The 24,043-nt window shown below is 34.7% G+C and overlaps 1 protein-coding gene across 9 annotated transcripts in view, besides 1 other annotated feature; it reads right to left on the bottom strand.

The window, feature by feature from the left end:
• Positions 1–24,043, bottom strand: part of LUZP2 (leucine zipper protein 2) — a 585,586-nt gene that overhangs the window by 444,521 nt on the left and 117,022 nt on the right. The gene's annotated exons all lie outside the window — the stretch shown is intronic.
• Positions 88–589: an enhancer, noted in NCBI's record as "NANOG hESC enhancer chr11:24659075-24659576 (GRCh37/hg19 assembly coordinates)". NCBI's record gives its function as "activates a minimal SCP1, AML or CMV promoter by ChIP-STARR-seq in primed H9 embryonic stem cells {active_cell/tissue: H9 hESC(primed)}" and the evidence as "EXISTENCE:reporter gene assay evidence [ECO:0000049][PMID:30033119]".

The following is a 24,043-nucleotide window of genomic DNA, read 5'->3' as shown; positions in this document are numbered from 1 at the left end:
CAGGGAACCAGCCCCCAACATTTCAACGTAGGTTCTTTTCTATTTTCCCTAAGTGTTGGCCAGTCTGAAAAATACAGAGAAAGAGTACAAAGAGAGAAATTTTATAGCTGGGACTTCGGAGGTGTCATCACATATTGGTAGGACCATGATGGTGACCCTGAGCTGCAAAACCAGTAAGTTTTTATTAGGGATTTTAGAAGGGGAGGGGATGTACGAACAGGAAGTAGGTCACAGGGATCACATGCTTCAAAGGGCAATAAAAGATCACAAGGCAAAAGGTAAAATTAGAATTATTGATGAGGGTCTGTGTCCCTCTGTGCACTCATTGTCTTGATAAACATCTTCAGGAAACAGGGTGCAAGAGCACAGAACCGGTCTGACTAGAATTCACCAGGCTGGAATTTCCCAATCCTAGTAAGCCTGAGGGCACTGCAGGAGACCAGGGCATATTTCAGTCCTTATTATCAATCACATAAGACAGACACCCCTAGAGCGGCCGTTCATAGACCGCCCCCCAGGAATGCATTCCTTCCCCAGGGTTATTCCTTGAAGGGAAAAGAATTCAGCAATATCTCTCCTACTCGCTTTCTGCAAGGAGAAAAATATGGCTCTATTCTGCCCGACCCCACAGGCAGTCAGATCTTATGGTTATCTTTCCTTGTTCTCTGAAAATAGCTGTTATTCTGTTCTTTTTCAGGGTGCACTGATTTCATATTGTTCAAATACACGTTTTACCAACAATTTGTACAGTTAACTCAATCATCACAGGGTCCTGAGGTGACATACATCCTCAGCTTACAAAGATGATGGGATTAAGAGATTAAAGACAGACATAAGAAATTATAAAAGTATTAATTTGGGGAACTGATAAATGTCCATGAAATCTTCACAATTTATGTTCTTCTTCCTAGGCTCCAGCCGATCTCTCTGTTCGGGGTCCCTGACTTCCCACAACAATTTTATAATGCTTTTATATTTCTAACACTCTGCTCATCCTCTACAATTTTTGTTTTATAGATTTTTAAGATTTTGAATTTTATACCAAAAGATTATATATTAATGTAACATCAAGATTTTCCCTTTTTAAACTGTTAATCAACATTTTTAGCTTTCTATTTTATCACCTTAACACTGATAGTTTTTAATATATATTCTATAATTTTTATATTTAAAATTCAATTGAAGCATCTTTTTTTATAAGCAAAAATTGGCTTATATCATTTTTATTTGTTGGAATTTCATGTCTGTTTGCCCTCTGTTCTTTCATATTACCTCATGTAAAAAATTTTATTTTTAATCTTGCTTTATTTTCTATATTTTCTTATGTCTCTGGTTAAGTGTGTGTGAGCTGAGCTCTGACGAATTATTTGAAGGGTGATAGGAAAGAAGTGTAGACACCATTTTAATAGTTTTCAAAGTATGCCAGGCAAGTGAAGATTGTGGGCTGGATTCATGTTACTTGTGGACAACGTTAGTTGTGCCAATGTAGAAAATATGATATGCATTTACGTGTGTAAATCAACTAAGGATGAATAACACCCTGTGGTGGTCATTGTTTGAAGTACTTAACATATATTATCACATTTTATACTCCCACAATGATATGAGCTAATATTTGCCCCCACTTTATCAATGGGGAAAATCTGATGTGCAGAGAAATCACTCATTTTATAACAGAGTGCTCTGGATTTGAGCCCAAGCAGTCTAGGTTCAGAATCCACCCTCTTAACCCCTGTATTATAAGTAAGCATGCTATCTATGCCTTAGCTCCAGGTTGATTATATTTAATTACTTATTGTTTTGAATAGGGAATGTTTTTACCAGTGTAGGTATTTGTTGAAAAGTAGTATTGATAGAGAACTGATAAATATGCTGTGGCTGAAACTGTCTCCAATTGGGGATGATGATATGACTCAGAATGCCATCATACCATAAATGAGGCAGATAATGATCAGTGTTCTCTTACAGTGTGTAGTTCCATTGGACAAATAAAAAAATCTTCCTGGTTCCCAGACAAACCCCACTTATTTTAGGTTATTTATTTTTTACAGGTAACTGAGTCAATTTATTTTTTCTCGACTGACAATAATCAGAAGTTCCAGAGTAGATTGCCACCCAGTGTGATTTCTTCAAGCCACCACACTGACAATATGTAAGGATAGCATGTCTCTGCAGTACTTTTCCCCAGTTCCACTTTTGCTGTTATTCCGCAGAGTCACCTTGTGCTTAGACCAGCTTGCAAAGTCTACCTGCACCGCAGGCCTTGTATTTCAAGTAAAGTATTGCTGTGGGGCCTCTTAAGGCATTGAGATCCACTTTTAGTCAACGCTGTCTGTGGGCCTCAAATGTTCTCCCCAGCACTCTGCGTTGATTTGTTTCAAGTTTCACAGGGTCTGACAGCTTCTTTTCTCTCCAAATTTCATTACAGATGAGGTTTTAAAATGTATAACTTTGTTTTCAGTTGTTTTATAGAAGACAGTGAGATAGAAATGCCTGTATTCTGACATCTTTAACCAAGTTATCATTAGTTTAATTTAATTTAAATTGATTACTTAAGGATAAACAGCATACTTTGCATAGAAATGTACTGAAAATGACATTTGACTGTCTTTAGTTTGGTGACAAAATATATTTTAATGTAGATTGAAATGTGTTTATTTCTTATGACTTGTGAATACACACACACACACACACACTCTTTTCTGATTTGAGGTTTAAAATCTTACATGTTGCTTATAACATGTTGTTCAAAAATCAATTTTTTAATGCCAATTATTTTTATCATTTTAATGTCAAGATAAGATCAAGTGTTTGCATTTTTTTGGTAATGCTCCTATACAAATTATAAATAGTGTCATATTTCTTTTTATTTACAAAAATAAAAAGTGAAATTGGTAGATTTATTTCATTATCTTTTATAATTTTTTTTTATTTGTATTTATTTAAAGGGTACAAGTGCAGTTTTGTTACATGGGTATGTTGACCAGTGGTGAAATCTGGACTTTTAGTGTAACCATCTCATTAACATTGTACATTTTACCCATTAAATAATGTCTCATCCCTCACCCCCATCCCACGCTTCCTGGTAAAAGGTAACAAGGATATCTTTAGGTTATGTTTAACGTTATTATTATGACTAACAGAGATCAAATGAGAGACTGATTTATTTTGAGCTGAGTAACAAGTGTGTTCATCTCATCTCCAGTACAGATCATCCATGCTTACTAGGTTCATACTGAGAAGCCTGTATCTGTTCCAAGTCACAGAAAATAAATAAAGCAATTATTCTATTTGATGTTGTGTTTTTAAAAAATGATAACAAAATCCAGTACCGCCTTTAATTTTGTGAACTCAAGCCCTTTCACCTTGCACCTGCAAACTCAAATGCCTTGACCAGGCTCATAATGCAAACGAGTAAACAGAATCAGCTGCAAAACAAACAGCTCTATGGTCAGTTTATTGCTCATTTACTTTTTTTTTTTTTTGAAGTTATAAATCCAGAAAAAATTAACTTTAAAAAAGCAGTAATGCAAAACACTAGGAGAACTTGAAGATGATACTTAGTTACAGTATGGGGGAAAAAATAGGGAATGAGATCTTGAAAAACCAGAAAGAAAATGCTTGATCTCTCTGTGTTATCGATAGCTGGCATATCTTGGCTTATCTTCTGATATGTAATTTTTAGCCACTACCTCAATGAAAATAAACTATGTGGACCAATTCTGTGATAGCCATACAAAGACAATCTAGATGGGAGCTACCAGTTTAGGACCTCTACCATAATGTTTGTATCTGATTATGGTATACATTACCACCCTTGTAATATGGAATAGTACTTCCAGGGTATCTGTGCCACATTTTGAAAATTATGCTGTTTTTATTGCCATGTTTCACCAATATTTTGCCTTTAAGTTCTTAGATTTATTTTTTCTAAGTCATACATGAACTCATATAATTCTCACAAAAATTCATTTACATATAAGATGACTGAAGTAGAGGGTTAAGTAATTTGCTCAAGATCATACTTCTAGTAAGTTTGATTGCTATAGAAAACCCAATAATTCTGTCTTCAGAGTCTCAGCTCTTCATTTATTTGCTTTAATAGTTAAACAGGTTTAGACTTTATTGTCCTTTAATAGACAGACTATATATACACACACACACACACACACACACACGTGTGTTAGACTAAAAAAATACATTTTAATAATTTTTTTCAAATTTGAAGGATGTCAAGAGTGATGATTACAAAGCATAAGAATGTAATTAATGTATATCTTTTATAGAAAGTTAATGGTTCATTTTGTGAGCAGAAAATAAATTCATGCAGTTGCTATATAATCCTATAAATATAAGCAGCCACCTCTTGAGATATTAATTCATTCATTATGAGATAGAAAACATCATACTTAAATATATAAAAGGTCAACATTAACAATGTATATTTTCTCTATAAAACTTTTTATAAAAGTAAATTGTGATTATTTTAAACATATTTTATTCTGAATTATATTACTTGCCTAAAATTTTGAGCTTATACCTTCAAGAATTTCTTTGCAATGATAAAATATACTAAAATACAACTGAGAAGAACACATCATTTTTTTCCACTGCTTTTTCTTCTCAATTATTGTAAACTTTTAAAGATTCTGATTGATTTTCATGGAGTGGCTAGGTAACTCACATGAGAAGGTGACCTTTTAGAAAATTATTTTAAAATGTTTCAATGGCCTAACTTGTGTGTATCTTTTGCTAAGAACATAGTGGCAGCTAAAGTCAACTTTATATATTTGGATTTGGTTCAAAATAACCTATATATCCTCATTTTATTTTTAAATACTTGAAAGCATTGTGGCAGATCTGTTTGTTTCATTGTTTTTGGATGGAATATTTTTATGTGTCCTCTACTCCTGAGTGCCTTTGAATGTGAGTGCAAGATAAGTGTAAATAAATGTGGAAAAATGCCACATACATATGAAGGTAATTTTACATATGGTCATCATGAAGGCAACAAGAAAATCTCCCAGACTAGAAAAGGCAATTCACATCAAAACAAGATAATCTTTTACTCCTGTTGCTCAGATTTCCTTTCTATATCCTATCATTCTTCAAGACCCCATCTTTCCTTAACAAACAGGAACTCAACATGTTTTACTCCTTTGAGATCCATTGGTTGCAGTACATATCATTTCTTAATACATTACTTGGTTAAAGGAGTTTGAAATGGTGTTCTCTCAAACAAGATTGGGTGAGTACTAATATCCCCATAATGCCTGCAAGATGCATATATCTGACAACTTCAGGCTATCTCATCAGCTTGGTTTATATTCTGTGTGATATTTTGCATTTCCTTATATGTTGGAACAATCCAGTCTCCTCTTGAGATTAAGTTCAGTCCACTGTAATTGTTTATGTTTTTCACATAGGCTAGGGAGGACTTGAGATTTTGGAGCACGTCTATTTTAAATGTTTGTTGGGGATGCTGTTAGGATTGCCCTGATGAGCAGACAGGAATTTTCATGTGCTGATTAATGGACATTTACATAAGAAAAATTCTGTGGTTGCCACGTGGGATTCCTAAGGCCATACATTAAAAATCATACTTGTAATACCTGTGCTGATAATAGAACTCACTTCTTGCAGTGCACTGATTGTAATGATATGGGGGAAGCTAGTTAAAAATTAATAAGCTTTTCATCTATATGCAAACTTTATTAGACTTCTGTTCAATTTTCTAGGTGACATTTGCTCTAGATTATTTCAAATTATTTGTGTAAAAAATACATATTGGATCAGAAAACAGCAAGCTCTTTCACAATGCTATCAAATGCCGAGGTTTTATGTCCCTCATTATACCCAAATATATGAATAAATATTCTATTTTGAGTTATACAATGGCATCCTGATACCCACACAAGTTCCTTCAGTTTTGTGTAAAAATTCAGTAGTGAAATGCCTATCTTTCAGGTGTTTAGTGAGTTGGTAAGTATTAACATATTCTCAAATGTGAAATGACATTACACAGTTATTCTGAAAACTAATATAAAATCCTAAATACCTATAAATGCCCCACTTCCATAGTAAAAAGCAAAAGCCTATCCATATTACATTTTGATTGTGGGTCACTTCCAATGCCAGAAATAGGCAGCAGCAGCAGGCTGTTTGATCAGGTTTGGTAATTGGTACATTATATTCATATGCCCTCTTTCCTGTATTAATTTGCATTCTCCAAAACCTGAACAGACCACTAATGACTAGAAGGATTGAATCAGTAATAAAATATCTCTCAAAAAAGAAAAGCCAGGACTAGATAGATTCACAGCTGCATTCTACAAAACATACAAAGAAGAACTAATTCCAAGCATCCTAAAGCTCCCAAAAATCAAGAAAATTATCTCTAGCTTATTCCACGAGGCTAGTATCACCCTGAGACCCAACCAGACAAGGACACACACACACAACTACAGACCGATATCCCTGATAAACACAGGTGTGAAAATCCTCCATAAAATACCAGCAAACTGAACTAATAGCACATCAAAAATGTAACACTACAACGAAGGGATACAAGGATATTTCAACATACGTAAATCAATAAATGTTATGTATCACATAAACAGGACTAAGGATAAAAACTATCTGATCTCTCTATAGGCACAGAAAAAGCATTTGATAAAATTCAGCACCACCTCATGATATGAAAAGAAAAGAAAAAAAAAAACAATAAAGAAAAACACCTGAACCTACTAGGCATTGAAGGAAAGTACCTCAAAATGATAATGGCCATATACAACAAACCTATAGCCAACATCATAGTAAGTGGAGAAAAGCTGAAAACACTTCTAAGATCTAGAACAAGACAACAATGCCCACTTTCACCACTCATTTTCAACATAGTACTGGAAATCCTAGCCACAACAATCAGGAAAGAGAAAAAAAAAGCTTCCAAATCAGAAGAGAAAGTCAAATTATCAATATTTCCTGATGACGTGACCTCATATTTAGAAAAACCTAAAGATGGCACCAGAAAACTTTTTAGATTTAATAAATGAATTTGATAAAATTGTAGGACATAAAATCGATGTACAAAAATCAGTAGTACTTCTATACACCAATAATGATCTAGCTGAGAATGAAATCAAGAAGGCAATTCCATTTACGATAGCTACAAAAAGATACCTAGACATATATTTAACCAAGTAGAGGAAAGATCTCTACAAAAAGAAACTTATAAAGCACTAATGAAAAAAAGTGTAGGTGACACAAACAAATGAAAAACACCCCATGCTCATAGATCAGAAGAAACAATCTTATTAAAATAACCGCTCTACTCAAAGCAATCTACAGATTCGGTGCAAACTCTATCAATATAACAACATCATTTTCATGGAATTTTTAGAAATCTTAAACTTAGTATGGAACAGCAAAAAAAAAAAAAAAAAAAGTCGGAATAGCCAAAGCCATTACAAGGAAAGAGAACAAAGCTGGAGGCACCATATTACCTGACTTCAAATTATGTTACAAGGCTATAGTAACCTAAACAGTATGATACTGGCATTAATGTAGACACATAGATTAATAAAACAGAATATAGCACCCAGAAATAAAGCAACATATTTAAAGCCAACTAATCTTTGACAAGGTCCACAAGAACATACATTGTAGAAAAGACACCCTTTGTAATAAATGGTGCTAGGAAAATTAGAATGCTTTATGCAGAAGAATAAAACCGGACCCTTATTTCTCACCATAAACAAAAATCAGTTTAAAATGAATTAAAGACAAATGGAAGTCCTGAAACTATAAAAGTCCAAGAAGAAAACATAGGAACAACTTTTCTGGACCTTGGCCTAGGCAAAGAATTAATGACTAAGACCTGAAAAGCACAAACAACAAAAACAAAAATAGATAAGTGAGACTTAATTCCACTAAAAAGCTTCTGTACAGGAAATAAATAATTAACAGAGTGAACAGACAACTTACAGGATGCAAGAAAATATTTACAATATATACCCAACAAGGAACTAATATATGGAATATATAAGAAACTTCAACGACTCAGTAAAAACAAAAAAAGTAATCCCATTAAACAGTTGGCAAAAAAAAAATAGACATTTTTCAAAAGAAGACATACAAATGGCCAACACGTATATGAAAACATACTTAACATCACTAATCATCAGAGAAATGCAAATTAAAATCACAGTGGTACTTTATCATACCCAACTCAGAAAGGTTATTATTAAAAAGACAAAAGATAACAGACGTTAGTGAGGATGTGAAGAAAAGGGAACACTTATACACTATTTTGGGAAAATAAATTAATATAACCTCTATGACAAACAGTATGAAGATTGCTCAAGGAACTAAAAATAGAACTACCATTCAATCCAGCAATCCCACTACTGGGTATCTATCCAGCGGAAAATAAATCATTTTATCAAAAAGACACTTGCACTTTTATGTTTATTGTGGCACTCTTCACAATAGCAAAGATATGGAATCAATCTAAGTGTTCATCAACGGATGGTTAGATAAAGAAAATATGGTATATATATATATATATATGCAATGGAATATATATATATGCAATGGAATATATATAATATATATGTAATATATATATGCAATGGAATATATATATAATGTATAATGTATAATGCATATATATATATGCAATGGAATACTGTTCAGCCATAAAAAAGAATAAATGTATTTTACAGCAATATAAATGGTGCTGGAGGCCAGAATTATAAGTGAAACAATTCAGACACAGAAAGACAAATATGGCATGTTCTCATTCATAATTTGGAGCTAAATAATGTGTACATATGAACGTAGAGTATGTAATAACAGACAATAGAAACTGAGAAGTGTAACAGAGTGGTGAAGTGGGTAATAACAAATATTTAATGGGTACAATGTATGTTATTTGGATGATGGATACCCTTAAAGCTCTGATTTGACCACTATAAATCTATGTATGTAACAAAATTGCACTTGTATCCCATAAATGTATAGAAATAAAAATAACTAATTTGTATTATCAGCTGATAAGATAAATTTATCATAGAAAGTTTGCATTAACTACCTTGTTTATTACATTGCTTTTTTATATATAATATACCATATATTATGCACATTATATAGATCTAATCTTTTACATTAATTCTGCTACATGCATATCTATACGTGTATATGTATGTATTCACACACACAGATTCTCTTATCTTTATTCACCTGTATAAAGGACCAAGCAGGCCGGGCAAGAGGCCTCATGCCTGTAATCCCAGCATTTTGGGAGGGCAAAATGAGCGGATCACTTGAGGTCAGGAGTTCCAGATCAGCCTGGCCAACACGGTGAAACCCTGACTCTACTAAAAATACAATAATTAGCTAGGCATGGTGTTGTGTGGCTTTAATCCCAGCTACTCAGGATGCTGAGGCAAGAGAATCGCCTGAACCTGGGAGGTGGAGATTGCAGTGAGCCGAGATGGCACCACTGCACTCCAGCCTGGGAGAGAGCGAGACTCCATCTCAAAAAAAATAAAAAGATAAATAAAATAAAGGACCAGGCAGTATGAGGCAATTACTTAGAAAATGCTTTTGAAACTAATAAATCAGGACTCAACTGCACATAACTCGGGAAAAGAAAAAAAGCATCTTAAGGATTAAAGCTATGATCTCATTTGAAGTCTTAGATCTGTGAGTGGGCCTCTATAAATAACAGAGAAGGAACCAATTCTCATTTCCATGGCAATCCATAGTACATTGTTACATTTTTGCAATGTTTTGAACAAAGCAAAACAGCATAATGATCAAAGACCAGCATGTTTCTTAATGATAAACATCAGCTACAGGCATAGATAGACATGTATCCCAGGTGTGTGTGTGTGTGTGTGTGTATGCATGGGTGTGTGTGTGTGCGTGTGTATGCAAGTGTGTGAGTCATAATTTTACAAGAATTATCTGTGTTCCAAAATTTAAAAGTACGCATCTTAAAACAGTGTGCCATGCAACCCTGCTCCTTCCAGAGAATATTTTACTTTATAACTGCTTCATCATGGATGAATTGTCACCAGCTCAACATGGAGCCAAAGACTGAAAATGCCCCAGACAGTAAATATTTCAGGGTCTAATTTGTTTGACTAGCTCTGATTATGATTAGCCTATTTAAAATATGTGATAATAATTAGTAAATGTCAGTTAAATATATGCACACATTGAAGGGAGGGGTGTCATTATCTGTATTACATTTGGAGAAGAGTAAGCTGGAGGGAATGCTCTGAATAGTGACAAGAGACACTGCCTGTCATCCAATGGGTGTCATATGTGGCATGACCTTGTAAGGCTACCTTATTCTAAAGTCTGTCTCTCAGGCCTGCAGCTTCAAACACTGGAATTGTCAGTACTTCAGAGAGGTTCCATTTTGCAGGGAAAATTCAAGTTGAGAATCCTTCCAGAGGTGGGTTTTGCAAACAGAACACTGGTTATTCACATACTGCAAGCGAATATCTGGATTTCATGTTCTGCCTCTACTCGGTAAAGCAAATTGCTATCTGAATGTTCTTGGCCTTCCTGGGATCACAGAAAGAAAGTCGGTTATAATAGTTAAATACCTGATTTCTTTAAAAAATGAATTTGGGTCTCCATTTTTGGTATACCAATAGACTTGCCACTCCGGGGAGACAAGCTAGTACTAAAGAAAAAGCCTGGTCCCCCACAACAGTGCCTGAATGAGCACTGACATTTCTGGCCATCAATAAGCTTTCTTCTTATAGCTGAAAAACCTTCTCTTTTTTCTGGGCACATTTTCCCAATGTTCAATTATCTGATTATGGTCAAATCTTGTTGACTTAGGATATATTTAACAAACCTTTGCCTATGTCTGCTTTGAGGTATTAAATATTAATTCCAAAGTGTATTTCCCATAAAGAAACATCTTACATATTTTTGTACTATAGGAGCATCTCCCTGTATTATCTGTGTACTCACATCTTGTATTAGGAGAGTTTTAAACAGGCTGATTTATTATTGTCTTTCTACTCAATCAAAAGTGTTTATTAACTTTTTCTCTTTGTTTTAGTTTAATAACATAAGGACCAAAAGCATCCCAAAGCATACAGACTTGCCCTGTCGATTAGAGTTGGCAGATCCCTAATATAATGAAAAGCAGAACATGTCACTTCAAATGTCACATGGAGTAGCATGGTACTTTCTGTAGTATTTTGTGACATACCATTTTGGACTATGAAGCAAGACTTGATTTTTTTCAGCCATTATAAAGTGAAGCAGATTCTCAATTTCATGATGTCTATTAATTAGTTTAATGTTGATCAGGTTCAGAAAAAAATACTATCTTCTCAGTATTGATTTTAAGTCATTTTGATATTGATTAGCCTTCATTGTTATGTTAGCCCACAGAGTTGATTCACAATAGTATTTTCCTTACAAACAATTGGCTGAAGTTCAGTAACAGTTAGATGGAGATTATCAAATTGGCTATGTCATTTACAAAGTCTGTGTGTTTCATTGATTTCTGGTCTCCCATCTCATCCTTACAACTGACTGAAAGGCTACCTTGTCATTGATGAAAGTCAACCAGCAGAAAAGGAAATAGGAACTATTGATGGAATATCTAGAGGAGGAAAATGTAATTGTGATTCACTGTGAAATTATACTTGGGAGTGTATTTTAAGACTTCACAGTTGAGCAGTTTAATTTATTTTCTCCTGATTGTAAGCAGGTGTTTTAAAGCCTGCTGCTTGCTAAGGATGCTGCAATGATAGTTTCTGCATTTTTGTTTTGCAGGTGATAGGATGGCACAATTGAGACAATATAGGCTCTTCCCTGATACTCCTTGCCTTGGCTGAAACCTGATTCTCCCCCAGGACCATTTTCATTCCCAGCTTTTCTCACTGGAAGAAGACAGTTGAGATGGCTGCCATTTGTTGATGAATCACCAGTATTCACTTCTCTGTTTGGCACTTCATGGAAATTGACTCATTTATCAGGAAAATAACCCTCCGAGGTTGACACTTTATACTAGAAAACACAGAGACTCAGAAAACCTTAAGTAAATTATTTAAGGTTAAAAAGTTAGTAAGTGGCAGCCCTTATATTACAAATCTCTAGTTGGTAACTATTTATGTTCCTACTCCCCATACACTCTAAGACCAATGGACTAGAAACATTGATTTTTTCCAAGATGTTTTCTGGAAACATGCTGTACTCCTGTTGGTCACCACATTTCCACTGTCCTGTACAAACATATTCTTTGAATACCATGCCATTCAGCTAATCTACTCTATTTCTTTATCAATGCCTTTTGTGGGTCTAGTTATTCCCCTACTTCAATTGAAGGCTGTGATTCTGGTTTCTGGAGTTGGAAAACTTTGATTTTTTTTTTTTTTAGATAATACAGTCATTTTTCAAACGAATATTTCTTAAACTTTTCCTCAAGGACTTTCTTCTTCACCTCAGCAAACAGAGAATGCATTTGAACTTTGTAATTTCCTGACAACATTACATTTATTAAATATGTTCTAAATTTATTTTTCAGCTTTATTGGAGGTATAATTGAAAATAAGTAGAATTATATTTAAGGTGTACAAATTGATTTTTATATGTATACATAGTAATAAATCACCACAATGAAGCTAATTAACATATTTTTCACCTTATATAGTTAGCATTTTCTTTATTTCTCTTCTCTGCTTTTTTTTCCTACCTTCCTTCCTTCCTTCCTTTCCTTTCCCTTCCTTTTTTTTTTGAAATGAGAACACATAAAATCTCTCCTCTTGTCAAATTTCAAGTATACAATACATACTGAAACTATGGTAATCATTCTGTACATTAGCTCTTCAGAATTTATTCATTTTGTATATGTGACATTTTGTGCCCTTTGACCAACATAATCTCATTTCCCCTTCCCCAACCCACCCCTGGAAATCACTATTCCACTCTATTTTCACAAGTTTAATTATTTTAATTTTCATGTATAAGTGAGGTTATGCAGTATTTGTCTTTCTGCATCTGGCTTAATTCACTCGGCATTATGTCATCCAGTTTCATCCATGTCAATGGCATTTGGGAATGACAGGATTTCCTTCTGTGCTCACCATGCATACCAATTGCTCCCTCTGTCTCACTCCTTCTTCATATTTATTCTTTTTCTCCTATCCTCCTATCTTTGATCTTTTCATTTTACTATGGTCTATCATCTTATCAATTTTACTTCTCAAATACAGCCTAATAATAACAATAATAAAAATAAACACAATTATAATAATACTACCCTTTTTGAAAAGCTAGGTACGAGGTACTTCATAAAGCACTTTATATTATCACATATGGAGCTCAGAGAGAAGTTAGCCATCCATGACTACACAGCTAATAACATAATAGGATAAAAGTGCAGGTATGCCTTTCCTATTCCAAAAGTCCAAACATCTTTCTTTAACTATACATTTACACCTCCATAACTTAGAACCATATAATCCACACCTATAATAACCTCTCGCCATTACCAAGAGCTTTCTTATCTCCCTATCCTTCCTCATTCCTTACAATGATTGCAGGGAAATAATTATGGAAAGCTCAGTTCTTATATATATGACTTTATATATGTTTTATACTTTGACTTTCAATTTAATATGCTCTTGAAATAATAGACATAAACAAATGTTTAACCAGCTATTTTTGACTAAGAGTTTTATTTCATTTTATTGTAATAATTGACTTATTTTTCTCACTCTGCCTCTAAAACAGGAGTTCTGAGGACAAAAAAAAATCATTATTATTTTTATTACCAGCACCAAATACACACAGGACACTCGTGACTATTGTTCACTATTAGTTAATGAATAGACACATATCATATATTAATGAATGATTACTGATCATGTTATTAAGTCTGAAATTCTGGCATTGTGATTAGTATTTTTCTTATACTAGCTGAGTGAACCTGGAAAATTCTTCTTATTTATCTGATTCTCAGTTTCCCTCTCTGTAAATTAAAAATAATATCAGCCTATTGCTATTCTTAAGATTAATGATATTTAAAAGATATTCATAAGATGAAATCAAGTCATGATTATGAACACACTATATGAACAATAAATATTTCTAAGATGATCAGCAGCTAATTTTAGATGAATTTGTCTCTATCATCATATAGAGGCAAAAGCATATGGATGAATGTAAGACAGCAAATGTTTAACAAGTAGTTATTGAACATTAAATAGTGTTTCGACATTTTCTTTAATTTTTGATATGGGGTCTCACTCTGTCGCCCAGGCTGGAGTGCAGTGGCGTGACCTCAGCTCACTGCAACCTCCACCTCCCGGATTCAAGCAATTCTCCTGCCTCAGCCTCCCGAGTAGCAGGGCCTACAGGCACCGGCCACCACTCCTGGCTAATTTTTTGTATTTTTAGTAGAGAGGGGGTTTCACCATGTTGGCCAGGCTGGTCTCCAACTCCCGACTTTAGGTAATCTGCCTGCCTTGGCCTCCCAAAATGCTGGGATTACAAACGTGAGCCACTGTGCCTGGCATGTTTGGCAATTTTCTAAGTGATGGGGACATAGCTGTGATACGACATTTCCAGCTCACAAGGAGTAGACCATCTACACAAAGTAGATCCTTGTGTTCTTTTCACAAAAGCCTGCAAAATTCCATTCAACTTCTATATGAATCTGTGTCATATCAAAAAAATGACAAAAAGAAAACTTAAAAGAGATAACATACTTTTACTATGAGTAGGTAAGCATACTGACATTCTTCCTCAAGTAATTCTGATTTTATTATTTTAAGCCAGCACTGGCTTAAGAGTTTTGCAATCCTCTTTAAGTCCCGTAAATTTTTTTTTCCTTTTCCCATGAGTTTTTATGAGTACAGCCTACTCTGAGAATGTGGTGGGACTTTTCATTAATAAAAGGAATAGATTTATGTTGTTTGGGGGGGAGTTCAGTAAATGCCTGCTTCTCTCTCTCAATCTCTCTGTGTGTATGTGTGTGTGTGTCCTTTTCTCTCTCTCTCTCTTTAAAGCACATTTACAGTACGAAGCCTGGACATTCTTTCCTCCATACCATCGGGGCGGAATGGAAATTGATGAAATGTAACATTTGCATCAAGAAAACTTTGCAAAACAGTTTTGCTTCTCTTTTCTTCTAAAGTGCAATGCTGATTTTAAAACAGTTCCACATATATTTAGAAAGTAAAAAAGACAGTTTGCCTAAAAATTATTTGAGGACAGAGATGGGCAGTTTTGTAAAGTGAAAGGTGTGTGTGGAGAGGATAACAACTATTTTCTCAAAAACTTGGTCAAGTAAACTATTTATATTTCCAAACTCCGTCTTCAAAATAATCCTAGGAAGTGGGATGTATTATTATTCCTAGTTTTAATTACCAGATGAGTAAATGGAGGCTCAGCTGGATAAAATTAATTATCCAAAGTTAAACTGTTAATAAGCACTTTAGTCAGATTTGAAACTGAGAACTAAGTTTAGTTATTTTTTAACTTAGAGATAAAACCCTGAGATTATCATTGTGATAAGACCCTGTTGTTTCCCAACCTAAAAAATCTACCTGAATAAAGTTTGTGAGGAGGCCTGGTGCGGTGTCTCAGGCCTTTAAATCCCGCACTTTGGGAAGCCACGGCCAAGGCAAGCAGGCTGCTTGAGCTCTGAAATTCGAGATCAGCCTAGGAAACATGGTGATTGCAAGGACAAAAAAACAAACACCGCATGTTCCCACTCATAGGTGGGAATTGAACAATGAGAACACATGGACACAGGAAGCGGAACATCACACACTGGGGCCTGTTGTGGGGAGGGGGGAGAGGGGAGGGATAGCATTAGGAGATATACCTAATGTAAATGACGAGTTAATGGGTGCAGCACACCAACATGGCACATGTATACATATGTGACAAACCTGCACATTGTGCACATGTACCCTAAAACTTAAAGTATAATAATAATAACATTAAAAAAAAAAGAAATACAAAAATTATCTGGGCCTGGTGGCACATGCCTGTAGTCCCAGCTGCTTGGGATGCTGAGGTGGAAGGATAGCTTGAGCCCAGGAAGCAGAGGCTGCAGTGAGCTGAGACTGTGCCTCTGGGTGACAGAGTGATACCGTGTATTTTTTTTTTTAAAGATGTATGTGGAAAGGAGTGTTTTGCAGTGTTCACAAGAAACTGTATGTAAAGAGAAAAAGAAGAGAAATTATAAAAAATAAGAAAAGGAGACTACAAGGCATACCAGAATGAATTCACATGTATTTTTCTTTTTGCAGACTTAAGCAAGACTGAGGCAGTTAAGAACAAGAGTTTTGAAGACAATGTTCTATTAAGAGGAAGAGAAAGCAGATACCGCATCACTCTATTTGTAATTCTTCTATGAGAATAATGAGCATCATAAAATGCTTGAAATAGCAAAACCTTAAGGAAAAATATAATATAGATACAGAAAATAGCTAAAGTGAAGACAGAATCATAAAGCTTTCACAAGTAAGAATCTCAGGCTTTTCAATTAATGACAGAGAGAATTTAGGAATTCAGTGACATTTGAATTTGATGGCTAGGTCCATAAGAGAATCTTTGTTGCTAGTGTTCTCATGGGATGAGCTCTTCAATGGAAAGAACCAAGTCAGAGATTAATAGGACCTGCTCAGTGAGTCATTAAAATTCACTGACTTCATAAAAAAAAATAGATTTACCTGTCTCCACAAATGCAATGTGATATTGCTGCAAGCATAGGGCTTTAAAGTCAAACAGACTCCAGTTCAACTACACGCAGTATTGGTATGTGACCTTAGCAGGTTAGTGTCTTTTTCTGAATCTCAAACCTTTTGTCTTCTAACAACAAGGAATTAACCAAGATAAAATGTTAAGAGTCAAACACAGAAGCTGTTATAAATTAAACTTCAATGCACTAATTTTGCTTATGCATTCATTTGTGCCACTGTGTGATAAGCTCAAGAGACATTTTCTACTCTAAGGATGATAAAATTTAGAGGGAGAACAAAGCACCAGTATCAGATTAGTAGCTACCTTAGCATGGGAGCAGGCTCACGGAAGCTTCTCATGACATATGTGTTAACCCATGGGAGTTTTAAGGGGAAGAGCTCCAGGGAAGGGGTAAAGTTGCCCAGGGAGGATCAACATGTAGAAGGCTATTTTCAACTGGTAATGACATTTTTTAACATTTAGGAGCAAGCATGATAATCTTATATGTTCTCACTGAACATTAAATCTGGATTTATGTGAAATGACTGGTAAATCAAGTCATGACTTAATTGCTTTGACTTACATTGTAGCAATTCAACATCCCCACTCCCACTGTGAGTGTATGTGTGTGAGAGTGTGTGCATATGTCCATTCTGGAGCATGTACTTATGGGTGTTTCTCACAGGACTTACTTTGCAGCTGTCCACAGATAGGTCAAATGTTCAAACAGTGTATGTTACCTGACAAAATTAAATGCACAAGAATTTAGTGACTTTGACATTTAGGATTTGAATTTAGGATTTTGACATTTTCCAAGCACTTTTGCAGTATTTGATCTACAGAACAACATTAAAAAGTAAGCAGTGTAGGAAGCTAATAACTTACTAATTATCTTCAGGTTATTTTCCTCAGGTGCAAATATTACCACTGAGCAAAAAGGAGCAGGTATGACAATTGCCTCTTCTTTAAATATTAGAAAAGTCAGAAGTAGAAAGATATAATACCTTGACAAAACTTAAAATGAGTCTCAATACCCCTGTACTGCAAAAAAAAAGTTTATTTGAACATAACATTTTAAAATAAAAGATCTTTCATTTGTTGAGTTAAAAATTCTTATTGCAATTTTTATGGCAAAAATCTGTAAAATATTATTCCCTAACAGTGGGAAAGTACACAAATAATGGAATGAAATTCTCATCTTAAAAAATTTATTTCAGTTGACTGTTTTCTGTGGAATTACAGATAATTAGATTTTGGCTTTAGACTCACTGACTAAAATATATCTATTTAATTAAGCTTAAACTGGAATCCACAAAGTACGTCTGGCATTAGAGAAAACAATGGCAAGCCTTCCAAATGAGAAATAGAGAAGAATAGAAATAGAAATAATGCTTATGTTAGCATGATGTACAGATCCAAAATGCTTAAACAACTTTTAAGAATTACTACCTATTTTGAATGTACAGTTGGCCTTCCTTATCTGCAGGTTCTATACCCATGGATCCAACTAGAAGAGGATTAAAAAAATGCATTTTAAAAAATTGCATCTGTACTGAACACGTATAGACTTTTTTTCTTATTATTATTCCCTAAACAATGCAGTATAACAAATATTTACACTGTATTAGGTATTATGTAATCTAGGGATGATTTAAAGTATACAAGATCATATACATAGATATATGCAAATACTATAGGATTTTATATCAGGGATTTGAGCATCCTCTGATATTGGTTTCTGTGGAAGGTACTGGAACCAATCACACATAAATACTGAGGGATAACTGTACTAACTATAATTTTTATACTACTACTTTTTCCTATAATGTGGTCTAAAAAGCTCTAGCATTCTTTTCATGAGATTAAATGTCAGGAAGCCCAAATAACTGAGTTATTTAAAAAAAATGTGCCAGTGTCTTTCAAGTATATGGCACTGGGATAGGTATTTTAAGGATAAGAAAATTCTGGTCTCCTTTCTAAAGGATTTGGGAGTCTAGTACAGCAGATGCTACAAATGTATGTAAAAGAAATCTGATTTAAAATGCTAAGTTGGCCTCTGGCAGGGTGACATACACCCATAATCCCAGTATTTTGGGAGGCTGAGGCAGGAGGATTGCGTGAAGCCAGGAGTTTGAGACCAGCTTGGACAACATAGCAAGATACTGTCTCTACAAGAAATAAAGAAAAATAATTAGCCAGGCATGGCGGTGCACATCTGTAGTCTCAGCTACTCAGGAAGCTGAAGCAGGGGGATAGCCTGAGCCCAGGAGTTTGAGGTTACAGTGAGCTACGATCATGCCATTGCACTGCAACTTGGGTAAAAAAGCAAGACCTATCTCAAATAAATAAATAAATAAATAAATAAATAAATAAATAAATAATGCTAAGTGGTTAGAATTACAAAAATAAATACATAAGAATTTTTCAGTAATATAGTGAAAACTTCTAGCTGAAGCATGATGGCAAGTTTCACAGAGAAATTTTCATTTTATAAATGAAAAATTGCATAAATAACCCAAGGATGCTCAATAATCAGTGGTATAAAATTAGGCGTATTCCGTTTCCAAAACATTGGCATAGAGGTCCTTGTCCCTGTTTCTCCCAGTAAATACAACTAAAAGCCCTGGCCATTATATATAAAACAAACACAAAACTCTGAAAGGTGAAGGGAGGAAAGCAGACCGACTGATGAATCTAGAACTCAAGGAAGTAAATGCTGCGTAATTGTTTAAGCTTTCTTTTTGTCTCATGTATCTCAGACTTGGAATTGAAGAAGATACAACTTAGAAACTTGTAATATATAGACAAGTAGAAGCTCCAACAGAAGCATGTTGTCTCTTATCAAAGGATTAGAAACAAGAGGAAAGCCTAGCAATGCCAAAAACATAGGCAACCACCTCTCTACTCTAGTCAAGCACAGCAAATAAAAAATGGTGGCTCCACTCCAACTCATGCCAACAAAGGCCCAGTAGGCAGTCTGACCTCCACTCTCATGAGGCACCCTAGACTGGAAATATGGTAATATAAGAGAAGGCTAAGTAGGGAGTTGGGACTTTCACCCCTATGGGAGCTGATAACCTCTCCTCAAGGTGTTAGTGAAGACCTTCTGGGGAGCCTGGACTTACATCATATCCAGCAGTAATGAAACATTTTTCCTATTCTTGGCTGTGTTGCTTCCACATGTGGCCTAGTGGAGATTCGGGACTTTCATCACTGCCCAGAGGTTAAAAGGCTACATTCCCCCATCCCCTGAGTGGTATCAGTGTAGGCCACATTGATAGTGAAAACCCTCACACATGCCCAGCAATAATGAGGAGTTCCCTTTTTTCCACAGGGTGTCAGTGGAGGTCTGCTGGGAAACTGGTACCTCTTCCACTATCTGGCAGTAGTAATAAGGCATTTTCTCTTACCCTGCCAGAGTAGTATCAGAGGAAGGCAGTTAAAACAGATGGTTTAAATAAGACAAGAGTTTCATAACATAATACCCCAAATATCCAGGATCCAGGTGTTTTATTTAATTTATTTATTTATTTATTATTGTTATTATTATTACTATTTTTGGAGGCAGAGTCTTACTCTGTCACCTAGGCTGGAGTGTAGTGGTGCAATCTCTGCTCACTGCACTGCAACCTCCACCTCCGAGGTTCAAGAGATTACCCTGCCTCAGCCTCCCAAGTAGCTGGGACTACAGGTGCCCTCCACTATGCCCAGCTAATTTTTTGTATTTTAATAGAGATGAGGTTTCACTGTGTTGCCCAGGCTGGTCTCAAACTCCTGAGCTCAGGCAATCTGCCCACCTTGGCTTCCCAAAGTGCTAGGATTACAGGCGTGAGCCACGGCCCCCGGCCCAACTATCCAAGTTTTAATACCAAATCACTATCGTACTAAGAATCACTGAAATCTCAACTGAATCAAAAAGAGAATTAATGCCAACATGAAGATAACAGATGTTAGAAATATCTCACAAAGATTTTAAAGAAGTCATCACTAAAATGCTTCAATGAATAACGATGAACACACTCTAAACAAATGAAAAGAGAGGAGGTAGCCACAAATCAGGTGAAAAATAAGGCAAAATTGGATTTTTTTAACTAAAAATACAGAAAAAACAAAGTTAAAAACTCAACAAATAGGCTCATGCAGAATAGAAAGTACAGAGGGAAAAAAAAAATCAGTGAACATGAAGATTGATAGAAATTATCCAATCTAAACAACATAAAGAAAATAGAATGAAAAAATAGCATAGCCTCACCATGAACATCAGGAACACCTGAGCATATGATGAAACATCTACTACCTCTGTTTTAACAAGCGATAGAATTAGTACACAGAAAATTTACAAGAATATAAAATAGTTCATGCCGTCAACCAACAGGAACTAATCAATGTTTATACGACATTTTACCTAACAAAAGCCGAATACATTCTTTTCAAGTGCCTATGGAGTATATACCAAGATTTACCATGCTGTGTGCCATAAAACAAACCTCAACCAAAGATTGCAGTTCTCTCCAACTTGATATACAGATTTAACAAAATTCCTATCAAAATCTTAGGAACATTTTTATAGAGGTAGACCTGCATATGGAAAGGCAGGAGATGTAAACCAGAACAAATGATATTGAAAAGAAGAATAAGGTCAGAGGTATCAGTCTACCAGATTTCCAGACTTAATATACAGCTACGTAATAAATAATGTGTGGTATTAGTGGAAGTACAGACACATCGATCTGTGCAACACCACTGACAACTCAGAAACAGACAAAAACAAATATGTCCAACTGCATTTTGACAAAGGTGAAAATTAATTTCTATGGTGGAAAGGTAGTCTTTTCAAGAAATGGTGTTGAGGGAATTGAACATCCATGGTCAAAACATTAACATACACACACACACACACACACACACACATGCGCACGCCAAATACCACACACACACAATACCACCAAACAACAAAAAAACATTAAAAATTGTCGACTTAAAGCCCATACTTTACTCAAAAATTAACTCACAATGGGTCACAGCGTTAAGTGTAACATGTAAAACAATACAGTTTCTGGGATAAACAAACGAAAACATAGGGGAAAAGGTGGGGTGAAATCTTCTGGATCTATGGCTACGCAGAGAATTGGCATCAAAACTATTATCCATAAAAGAAAAAAAATGGTAAGTTCTCTTTCATAAATATTGAAAATTTTGCCTCTGCGAAAGACCCTGTTAAAGGAGTGAAGTGGGGTGAAAATTATATACTGGTATATAAGGGTGAAACTATATACTGGTATAAAATATTTGCCAACCACATATGCCACAAAGGACTTGTACCAAGAGTATATAAAGAGCTCTCAAAACACCACAATAAAAGAAAAAAAAAAGGCAACCAAACTAGGAAATGCACAGAAGAAAGACCCAAAAAGACACTTCACTTGTGAAGATATACAGATGGCAGTTAAGCACATGACAAAATGTTCATCATTATCCATCAGGGAAATGCAAATTCAAAGCATAATGAGGTATCACTATACATCAGAATGACTGAAATATTATATATATAATATATATATATGAGACATATATAAAACCAAAATGGCAAAGATGTGCAGAAGCTGGGTCACAAATACATTGTTGATGGAAAGGTAAAATATTACAACTGCTCTGGAAACTGTTTGAAAATTCTGCTGAAACTAAACATGCTACTACTGTACAACCAACAATTACATATTCCTGGGCATCTATCCCAAATAAGTGAAAACTTATGTTCACATAGAAACTTGTTCAGAAATATTCATAGCATTTGTATTGGTAATAACTCCAAAACTGGGTAAGAAAACATATATCTTTCAACAGATGAATGGTTAAACAAACTGGTACATCCAAATTCTCAGCAATAAAAAGAAAAAGCTATGATTCAAGCAACAATTTGGATGAGTCTCCAGAGAATTACACTGGATAAAATAAAAGGTCAAATTCAAAAGCTTACATACTATATTATTGTATTTATAAAGCATTATTTAAAAGACCAAAATGTAGGCATGGAGAAGAGATTAGAGGTTGCCAGGGATCAAGAACTGGCATTCATAGGTAAGGTAAGTGGTATGGCTATAAAAAAGCAAAAAGGATCACTGTGATGATGAAACTGTTCTGTATCTCGATGGTCTCAGTGTTAACATCCTTGTGATACTATAGTTTTATGAAATGTCATTATTAGAGAAACTGGGTGAAGGTACATGGAATTTCTCTGTATTACTTCTGCATATATGTATATTTACAATTACCTCAAAATTAAAAATAAGATTTAATTGAATAACTAAATCCATAAAATATGTTTTAAAATTAATAACAAAATTACCTGTGATTTCAAAATTGAAATTTCAACCTTTTTTCTTAATGACAGGCAGTAAACTTTAATTCTTGAACCTGGAAGAGGTTTAACATATAAATCTCTAGTTAGATTATATTCCATTAACACTGTTCTGGATGCTTGTGATAGAAATATGCATGAGGCAGATAAAGTCTATGAGGTTGAGATAGAAATTATAAAGAAGTAATCAAATTAACAAGGTGATTTTAAATAATAATGTGTACAAAGGTAAAGAAAGCAAAAGATAGTAATGGACAGGAACAGGAAGATAATCTACTTTAAGGTGGGTCAGGTAATGGCTTCCTGAAAACACAGAAGATTGAGCTATGTGTCCCTTCTCGAGGAAAAGTTTTCCCAAGAGAGGGAAAATGCAGTACAAAGATCTAAATCAGGAATAATTTTTACGCATTTGAACATAGAAAGGTCACTGTGGCTATAATAGAGAGAACACAGAAGAAATTGGTAAAAAGCAACATCTGAGTGATAAGCCGTACTGAATATGCAGAGCCCTATTTTCCAGACGTAGAAATGTACATTTTACTACTAGTGATAATAAAAGGCTTTTCAAATTCTTTTTTAGGGGGTTAAATGAAATGATATAAATTGAATATTTCAAAATGTGTGAAGATTATACGTGGCTCAAGAGTGAAAGTAGGAGCATCAGTTAAAGTAACACAAGTTCAGAAAAAGATGGTTATAGTTTGAATCATAGTAGGAGAGAGAGCAGAGATACAAAGAAGTTGATTAACAATATGTTTTCTAGAATAGAGAAGACTTACCAAAAATGGAATGGACTGGATGGTAGGAAGAACGAGGATTCAAATATAATTCCTTCATTTTTGTTTTTAGACAGCTGTATATTAGCTATTTTTAAAGAAAGAGGTTTTAAAGGTAGAATCCATTCAAAAATCTACTCACCAAGCATCTATTATGATTTATTAAGTCAATCATACG

This window comes from Homo sapiens, chromosome 11, assembly GCF_000001405.40.
Source record: "Homo sapiens chromosome 11, GRCh38.p14 Primary Assembly".
NCBI lineage: Eukaryota > Metazoa > Chordata > Mammalia > Primates > Hominidae > Homo > Homo sapiens.
Note: the sequence above shows the minus strand (reverse complement) of the source record. Positions and strands in the feature narration are given on the sequence as shown.